The following is a 10,529-nucleotide window of genomic DNA, read 5'->3' as shown; positions in this document are numbered from 1 at the left end:
TTAAAAGATAGATTTTTTCCCATAATCTACAGCTAATAGAAGAGATGATTTTGGTAAAAGTGTTAAGAAGTGACTGAAGAAGGATAACTCAACAAATATTCATTTTATAGGCATGTATTAGTGCCTAACATGTACTGAGCACAGTCTGACCTAGAGACATAGAGATAGATGAGATAATGGTATAATTTTGGATCAGGGTGTGCCAACAGGCATAGAAAGAAAGGAACTAATTCGATTCATGCTGTGAAGGATTATACATGACTGATTGGTTATGCAAAATTGACAAATATTTAATGAATGCCCATTACGGTGATTGTATTTTCTAAAACTCAATTTAATGTAACAAGAATGTATACATAAGAGGACAACAGGTAGATGATTTTAAGTTAAGCCTGAGAGGGGTGGTGATAATAATTATGAACCTGCCCTGAAAATTCAGGAGGTATGGTTGCTATTAATCACGCACCCAACCCTTAGAGTCACCAATTGTTTCAAATTTCAGGACTCACGAGAAAGCATTTCCTTATTTTGACCAGATTTTCTTGTTGGCAAATTGATGGATGTTTTCTCTTTCAAGTAGTCACTGCTAATCTGTCTGCCTGTCATGGAGCTTAGTGGTTTCAACTTCAGATTTCATTTCTCAGCCTTTTTTCTTGTTAAGCTACATGCTTTTCTGTCTTAGCTAAGGATGCTTGACAAGTACTTTGCCAAAACATGCAGTGAAATGAACACACCCTCATCTTCAGAGAAAGAACACTCCTTTTTATTCCACGGAAACCATAATTCCCAAGCCAGTGAGATTATCTGTGGTCTTTTCTCTTTATCCCCTCCTTTTGCCCTTTAGGGGAGAGAAGAGTGTGGAGGGAGGAATCGGGGAAGCCCAGTGCCGTACTGATGCTCTGGACTTTGTTTTTGGAGGTAGCCTGTGATGCAGGGCAGAAAAGAGCTGATGCCTTGGAGAGAGACTGGGAGAGGCTGGAGTTAATAGAGGGTAGGTGTACTGTTCTGTCTTATTCTGCTAGCGAATTGCTCACTTTTTCAGATTCTCTGGCTTGCTTTCTCCTTGTAGAGAGCCTCTCGAGCCTTTTGAGCCTCCCCTCAGAAAATCTGAAAATTGAGGAAGGAAGACACTAACTTCCTAAATTAAAATAGATCAGTTACCTAGTTGACACCAAGTTACCTATGTGATAAATAATTTTTCTTTACTTTTTTTTTCTTTAGATAATTGTTTTTTTTTACTGATACATTTTATGAAATTGGGGTGCGTGAAAAAGTGGTAAGGTTCTAGTTAACTTTTTTTTTAGCGCTTGCTCTGTGGCTTGGTCCTCAAGTACTACTAGATTTCAGTAGTTGGTGGAGGCATTCTGAGTCTTTGGTAAAGGATTCTAATCATGCTGTGAAGATTATGCTGCTGTATGAATAGATAACAGCCATCAGAAAAAGTTAGTGACTCTTATTAGCTTGCGACATTTGTTTGGGGGAGTTTGCATCCAGCTTGTAACTGTTATGAAAGTGATTACTATATAAACGGAATGTTCCCTCACATGTCCAGGTCTTCCATCCTGTCCAAGGGATAAAACAAGACATTTTATCTGAGTTAAAATGTCAGTTGTCACAGTACCTTCTTTCTTGCCAACATCACAGTGCAGGTGAGGCAGAGCATATACATTCCCTAAATTAAGGGAGGCAAAGAGAGGGGTGGAAATAGAAACTATGGAAATAGAAAATAACAAGGAGCAGGCTAGTACATGAAATCCACAAATTGTGAAAGATTAGTCATAGTGTAATGTATTCTGGACAGTGTAAAAATCTTCAGTTGTTTGAAATTAGGAATGAAGATAAGTAATAAGTGCCATCTCAGGATAAGATCCACCATTATCATGTCAGATCATGTCCTCTTTGCTGGGAATATATATATTTTTCTTTTTTTCTTGTTCTCATTTGCACTGAAGGACTAAGCTGGGAATATTTTTTTCCTCTAAAACGTGTATTTAAATCTAAGGATACTTATTGATAGCTGTCTTCCGAGTTCTATCAATCAGCCCACAGGTAATACCTGGGAGATTCTGTTGTGGCATTGTGGTTCAGGCCTTCTCATGCCTATTTTCTTGGAGGAGAGAGTTCTTCAGTGTTCAAATTGTTAGATGTAATATGGTTCTTTCTTAGAAAATTATGTCCTATAACTTTGGTTCTAGGACTATACTATATATAGATAGGGGCTGGACACATTGTAGATAGCAAAGCCTATATTGTCTTCAGTCCAAAAACCAAGTAAGTTTTATGGCCATCAAAAACAACTGGCACAACCTAACCCCTGATAGCAGAGGTTATCTATTTAAATATGCCTTTATAATGCTGGCATCCTTATAAACAAATGTAAGTTTCATAATGATATCTATTGGACTCACAGACTCAGAACTGGGAGGAAAACTAGAACTCCAGAGATATAAAAAAATTTATAGCTATGATTATTGTACTTTGGTGTATAAGGTGTCTTCACTAACATCAAGGACTGTCTTGTTAACAGTGTGTTGTAATATACAGATTTTAAAACATGTGCATAGTCATTGACCCCAAAACTTCAATTCTAATGGAAATAATGTAAAGTGCATGTTAAGCTCTATGCACAAAGATATTAATCACACAATCACTTATAATATTAAAGGAGTAGAGGAAACCTCAGTGTCATTTCATGGGATGAAATATCTCTTTAATTATTTTATGAAGAATATTAAGCGTAAAATGCAGGTACAGGCTTTTATATAGGATAATCTCAACTAAAAAAATAATGTATGCAATGAATATGGGTATTAGAGAAAGACTAAATTTCAGTCACAGATTTGGGTTTCTAGGCCTTACCTATCAGTTGAAGGGTAGAGCTGTGTTAGCATTAGTCGAGGAGAATTATCATGGTGTTAGTTGTTGTCTCTGGGTAATGGGAAATTATTTTCATTTTCTTTTATATTTTTACATTTTCTAAATTTTCTACAATGAGCACATGTTAATTTTATACTGGGAAAATAATCATCCTGCACTAAGAGCAAAAAAAAAAAAAAAACCTTGACATCTTAACACTGAGTTTTTCTTTTCATTTTATTTCTATTCCTTATAAATGTAGAAGGCATATTTTTCTTGAGGTGGAGGACTATGTCTGAGTCAGCTCCTTCAGCACATAGTCCTACAGAGAGACCCTTAGAGTTTGCAGGGCATTTCCTGGGCTCCGTGCTTTTAGGTTACAGCGCCACCTTTGGGATATAGCCGGCATCACTCGTTACCACCATTTGCTGATGATGTGAAATGCACAATTATACTACGATTTTGTGATGTGGGCAGCTAATTATTCAGTTATCCCAAGGGTTAAGATGTGTAGATGGAACGCATGTTATTTCTTCACTGCCTTGGTTCATTGAAACAACTCCTTGCTGGTCTTCTCATCAACTGCTTCATTCTCCTCCTATGCATGCCAAGGCAAACTTCACGAGCGATTTCAAATTCACTGTTCTCCTTTAGGCATATTCAATGGTTCTCTTTCAGATTTAACTTTCAGATTAAAATGGAAATTCCTTAACATGTCATTGATTTCCAGGTTTCTGACTCCTTCCTGTCTTGTGATGATCTGCCTTTATTCTTCAGCGTTACCAGCTGCTTCCAGCTGTCAGAGGAGCCAGTCTTTCTCCATCTTCCCTGTTTCTCTCCTTGTCTCCAATTCCATCCTATTGGCCTGGAATGCTCTTCTCATTTCTTCATCTGGCTGTTTCCTGTGGTTCCTTCCAGGCTTGGCTCAAAGTTCATTTCTTATGGGAAGCCTTTCCCAGCTCATTAATGCTAGGCCCCTCTTCTCTTCTCCCTTAACACTCATTCATACCCCCTTGTATAACTGTATCTCATACTGTATTTCAACCCTTTACTTCTTCCTGAATCTGACTGAGGTCCTTGATGGTAAGGACCCTAATTCACGTTTCTATACCTAGCCCTTAGCTCATATGCAAATAATGAAAATGCTCAAAAAACATTTAATGAATAAATGAATGAGCACTGGAATTGGTTCACGGTGATTTCCTTATAGTTTTTCTTTTCAATTTTCTTCAACTATAAAAGAAAGATCATAAGATGCATTAAATAAGAAAAATTTTGAGAAACAATTAGCCTAGTGCTAGACACATACTAGTAAATACTTGTTTTTTACTCTTTTTTTTTTTTTTAATAATTCCTATCTAGTTTCATGTTCTCTACATATGGTGGCTCATGCCACACTGATATCAAAGTCATCACCCAGTCAGTGCCTCCTTGTTAAATACATAATGTGTATTTAACAAGACTTCCTAGTCAATCAATATTTATTCTGATCACATGCATGCATGGTGACTTTTGTGCCAACACCTCACCATCACTCACCACACAAACTTGCTGCCTCCCTATCAAACACACATTCAGCCTCTCTCTTACTTTTAACTCGGTAATCTTATCAGTCTCAGAAAACCTTAGCTCTGTGAATTTCTAACGAAAGTATGGTCCTTTTTTGTTTCCCTCTCTCTTTTTTTTTCATTTTTTTAAAAGTTGTATTTTAGAATCAGGGAGTACATGTGCAGGTTTGTTACAAAGGTATATTACGTGATGCTGAGGTTTAGGATATGACTGTCACCCAGGTAGTGAGCACAGTACCAGATAGGTAGTTTTTCAGTCCTTGTCCCACACCCACCTCCACTCTAGTAAGCCCTATGTCTATTTTTCCCATCTTTATGTCCATGGGAACCCAATGTTTAGCTCCCACTTATAACTGAGAACATGCGGTACTTGGATTTCTGTTTTTGCATTAGTTCCCTTAGGGTAATCACTCCAGCTGCATCCACCTTGCTGCAAAGGACATGATTTTCTTCCTTTTTATGGCTGCATAGTATTCCATGGTGTATATGTACCACATTCCCTTTATCCAGTCCATCACTGATGGGCACATGGGTTGATTCCATGTTTTTGCTATTGTGAATAGTGCTATGATGAATATATGGGTGCATGTGTCCTTTTGGTAGAGCAATTTATTTTCCTTTGGGTATATACTCAGTAATGGGATTGCTGGGTGGAATGGTAGTTCAATTCTTAGTTTTTTGACAAATCTCCTAACTACTCTCCACAGTAGCTGGAGGAATTTACATTCCCACAAACAGTGTATCAGTGTCCACTTTTCTATGCAGCCTTCCCAACATCTGCTATTTTTTGACTTTTTAACAAAAGCCATTCTGACTGGAGTGAGATGCTGTCTTATTGTGGTTTTAATTTATATTTTGTGGTCCGCTTTTTAAGAAAAGTTTTCTTGATGCTTAGGGTCAATCTTTTATGCCAACAACAGTAAATACAGGTAGTCTTCAATTTTCATTTGTTCCCCTTTCATTTAACTCACTTTATCTACTTTATATATTGGCACCCTGACACTACCTTTCTTATGCACAGTTCAGCTAGTGAACAAACACTTTGTGCTAGCACATGCTACCTGCATGCCAACACTTCAGTAACCAGACAATACACATAGTTATCTGTAAAATGGATTTATATAATTTTATTTATGAAAATTTATATATAAATATATAAATGGATGTATATAATTTATATAAAATAATGTATATAATTGTTTGAATAGTTTTATTGATTTTTACCTTATTATTTTCAAAAATGATAAGACATCTCACAATCTTTTTTATTTATTTGCTTTCTTAATCCATAAAAGCATTGGCAAAATTGCTGCCAGTAATTCCTTCTCATTATCAACTGGGTTTCTTCAGCCTACTGTTATTTCAAGTAAGCTAAAATAGAATTTAAAGAAATTGTCTTTGCAAATTAATTTTCATGATCTGTATTTGATATTTAGTCTATGTTTAAAATATTGCAGCAATCATTCACATATTTCAAAATTTATGATAAAGTTGAAAATTATTTCATATTTACTGATATTAAGTTGGCTTTCTGCAAGTGGGATTTTTCCATGTGACATGTAAGTTTAAAGTTTAGGATTCATTTATTTGGCTTTTATGTTGCTTTGGAAAATATGATTAAAATAAATAACTTTCATCTGGTTCTTAATATTGAGAGCTCTATTTTGCTGCCTGTCATATAATTTTTTTTGTTACCGAATTTATACATAAGAAATAACTTCAAAAGAAAAGAAAAACTATTAATCAACTAAAGGCTATAATGAAAGCAATCTTATTATCAACGGCCTCTGTCAATGATCAGCAAATTTCCAGAAGTTTTAACATTCTTCTAAATCATTTATCCTGTGTAAATGTCATAATGGAACAGGCAAAGTTACAAATTAATGCTGGAGTTTTGAAGATATCAAAGTTATTAATGTATAATTCAATTTAATTTTAATTAATTCTAAACATATCCTTCAAAATTTTTTTAACTTGAATGTATTAGAAGTGCCAAGATAATAATAATAAAAAAAGAGCCAATGGGTGGGGATTGTACCTGTCAGATAGTAAACACACTGAAAACAGTATACTACAGCTGTAACAATGGTCAGAATTATCAGCATACCCAATAATATATCAATCTAATAGAAGAGAGACTAGAAATGTATTTAAGTATATATGGTAATTTAAAATATTGATTGATTAATTTATTCTTTTATTGTCAACTAATATTTACTGAATGCCAAATTCTGTATAATGATGAGTAATATCAAATAATTATAATTTTTATTAGATTATTAAACATTAAAAAGCTGATAACATCAATTATTATTAGGTCTATGGCTAAGCAAGCCCTGTCAAGAACAGCTGGCAGAAGTGTAAATGGACATTCTTGTTGACAGAAAAATTTGGGAAAATGCAATAAAAATTATTTGTCCATATGCTTTGATACGGCTTCCCTCTTTAAAGAGTCTATCCTATACAAATATTTCAACTTCCATGTGTTTGTTCTTATATGTACATCTGTATCATGCCTATATTAGATATGTAAATATTCATTGTAGCATTATTTGTAATAGCAAAAACTGAAATCAACCTAATTTTCTGGTAATAAGAGAATGGTTAAAAAAGTGTGGTGCAAATTTATGAATATTATGCAGATTTTCGAATGAATGAGGTTGATAAATATGTGCCGACACAGCATGATGTTCATGGTAATGTGAGAAAATCAAGCTACAGAAAAGTATACTAGAAAAAATTCAGTGACAAACTCTTGACACTAAATTCACATTCAAATGTGTCTGTTTGGCTAACTGTAGGAAAAGCAAATCTGCTGTCACTGCTTTAAAAACTGTCTGTGTTGGGTATCTGTGCTGGGTTGACAATTACCAATCGTCAATTTTGCTCTACCATCACACACTTTTAAGGCCTTTGTGGAACTACATTTCCCAGCTTCACTTTCTCTGTAGCATTTTTAGAATTTAGTTTATCCATCTATACCACAATTTCTTTCAAAAAGCACGCGAAGTTATTTTCCGTGACTTTATTTTAGTACTCTTTGTGCAAAAGATCGATTTCTCCGGAAATGTGATTGTCCTGTTAGTTAATATGCTTGCATCTTCTCCTTAAGGGTGACATTGACACAAGCTTTTTGGAGATCATTCAGAAGGCTGCTATCTAGAGGCGACACTGTTGAACTGTAGACACTTACTTTTAGGTGCTTGAGAGAACTTGACTATATTTTTCACTTCTACAATTAAATGAATGCATGCTATATACTAGACATTCCAACACCACAGATACAGGAAAGAGAAATGCATTGTCTGTATTCTTAAGGGGCTCACAGGCTAGCAGGCACAGGGAAGTAGTGTGGTAATTTCTGAAGGGAATAAAGGAGAGCTAGCTATAACAATAGTCAGAATCATCAGCATACCTAATCATATATCAACCTAATAGAAGAGAGACTATTAGCAGTACCCCAGCAGGCTGGGGTGGTGGAAGAGATAACAAGAAATGTTTCTGAGAAGTGGCAATGCTTGAGGTGAGTAAGTAAGGAAAAGCTAAACAGATGAGGGGAGTGGAGAGGGCTCCAGATTAAGAAACTAGGGTGGAGCAGCGTGACAGAGGTATGAGAAAGCAGGCCCTGTTCTAGGAACTACAATTAGTCCAAACACCTCACTTAAAGTGATCAAAACGGGAAGGGCATTCAATGTGCAAATACTTTGACTAACAAGTAGGATGATTAATTGGAGTCGCTTTAGAAACATCACGGACCTGCTCACCTCAGTGGTGACCTAAAGGATTTCCTAGGCTTGGAATGGTGACTTATCAGAAGATCGTGACTTCCACAGAGACAAACACTAGGCTCTCCACCTCAGTGAACGAGCCACCTGGTGTCTCAACAGAACACAGACAGACTATCATGAGGATTCCTGAGGGCCGTCCCAGTGCCACCTCATAAAATTGGGCCTGCCCATTGGCCGGCACAAAAAAATTTCACTGGTTCTCCATTTCCTACCAAGTTAAATCCAACCTCCTAATTGGATTCAAGATCCTTCTACAGGCTGCCTCTCACATATCCTTCCAGAATTAAATAAAATAATTTGGTGAATAGCAGTAAGAGTTTTGGAGTGAGTCCTGGGTTTGAATTTTAATTTTGCTACCCACTTAAGCTCTAACAAAAATGATTTCTGGCCGTGTGTGGTGATTTACGCCTGTAATCCCAGCACTTTGAGAGGCCGAGGCTGGCGGATCACTTGAGATCTGGACTTTCAGACCAGCCTGGTTTAGTAGAAACCCTTTCTCTACTAAAAATACGAAAATTAGCCGTGTGTGGTGGCACGCACCTGTAATCCCAACTGCTCGTGAGGCTGAGACAGAAGAATCGCTCGAACCCCGGAGGTGGAGGTTGCAGTGAGCCGAGATCGCGCCACTGCACTCCAGCCTGGGACACAGAGCGAGACTCCATCTCGAAAAATAAAAGAGCATTTCTCTTAGCTTAGCTTTTGTGTCTTCATCTATGACATGGGTATAAATCATACCTCATAGTGTTATTTTGATATTTCAATAGGATAGTATATTTTGAGTAATTAATGCAGTAACCATCATCTTAAAATGGCTGACTATAAGATAATTTTAAAATTCTTATTTTGTTTCAGACATTTTTAAGTATGTTTAATTTGGCTACTTAATAGTCTTTGGGTATAGCCTGTGTTTTAGCTTTTATATCTTTGTAATTTCCGTCAGACAAAATTCTACATCATCTTCAAGGATCCTTCCTCAATTCCCCTGATTGAAAATAATTATTCTTTCCTTATTCTACATAAATTGGTACCTCTGGCACAGAAACAATAGTAATAATTTTGTTGAATAGAGAATTGGTGAAAAAAAATTGTACAGGAAAATTTTCTTACCCTTTTCACAAGTACTGTTTTCACCTTTCTAAAATTTTAATTTGTTAGTTAAATGCTTGGTACTACTTTATTTTAAATTCATATCTTAAATCTCATGCCCCAAGATTGAATCCAGTGGGAAGAGATAATTTTCTTTTAAACTTTTATTTTAAGTTCAGGGGTACATGTATATGTTTGTTATATGGGTAAACTTGTGTCATGGGGATTTGTTGTACAGATTATTTTGTCACCCAAGTATTAAGCCTAGTACCTATTAGTTATTTTTCCTGATCCTCTCCCTTCTCCCACTCTGCACCCTCCAAGAGGTCCCATTGTCTGTTGTTCCCCCTATGTATCCATGTGCTGTCATCATTTAGCTTCCATTTATAAGTGAGAACAAGTGGTATTTGGTTTTCTGTTCCTGCATGAGTTTGCTAAGGATAATAGCTTTCATCTCCATCCATGTTCCTGCAAAAGACATGATGTCATTCTTTTTTATGGCTGCATAGTATTCCATGGTGATACTTAATTTTTTAATTGCAGTGTCTACAATAATTTATGGAGTTTATTAAATTTATTTGTTATTTTATATGAGCATTTACTAATAAAATAATAATTCTGTTGATAAATTTTATCATTAAAAACAAATGAATTATTCTAAATTTTAATTTACAAGTGAATTCATGCCCCTGTACTGTGCACATAATAATAAAGATGATTATCAATAAAATGGGAAAAGATTTTCTGAATTTGTCTGTTTACATATGAAATACTACATTCACCAAAGAGAAAATAAAACATTGTTTTATCATATATATTTTTTAAATAAATACATAAAAAATTATTACATTTAGTAATTAATACACCATGATCAGAAATAACTAGTTCAAAAGAAGAATTTTTTTAGAAAATAATTTTTTTCTTGAACAAGTTTATTAACTCTATGTTCTTAATGTTTTCCTTTCTCTTCACCTGTAAGACTTTCCCAAGATAACCCATTTATTCATGTAATGATGCTACCCCCTCAAGTAATTTCACAGGGCAGGAAATATGATTCAGACTATATGTTATATTTATTTATAAAATATAATTTCTTGAGCTTTTGGGTTCATTTTCAAACCTTAACATAAACACGATATCATTTTTACTTCTTAGACAAATTAATACCCTGAGTCTTAAGCAGTAAAGAGAATATTGGTTTATGCTATTTCGTTTGAGATGACATTTAAAA

General features: G+C 35.2%; 1 long non-coding RNA gene across 1 annotated transcript in view; it reads left to right on the top strand.

Annotated features, from left to right (window-relative positions):
- Window positions 1–835: 835 nt before the first annotated feature.
- The window catches only part of DSG1-AS1 (DSG1 antisense RNA 1), an 83,621-nt gene continuing 73,927 nt past the window's right edge, over window positions 836–10,529 (top strand). The window contains exon 1 of the long non-coding RNA NR_110788.1: window positions 836–991. This is a non-coding gene — a long non-coding RNA (DSG1 antisense RNA 1). The remainder of the gene's footprint in view (window positions 992–10,529) is intronic.

This window comes from Homo sapiens, chromosome 18, assembly GCF_000001405.40.
Source record: "Homo sapiens chromosome 18, GRCh38.p14 Primary Assembly".
In the NCBI taxonomy this organism is placed as follows: Eukaryota; Metazoa; Chordata; class Mammalia; order Primates; family Hominidae; genus Homo; species Homo sapiens.
The sequence above is the reverse complement of the archived record's forward strand: the minus strand, read 5'-3'. Positions and strand labels throughout refer to the sequence as shown.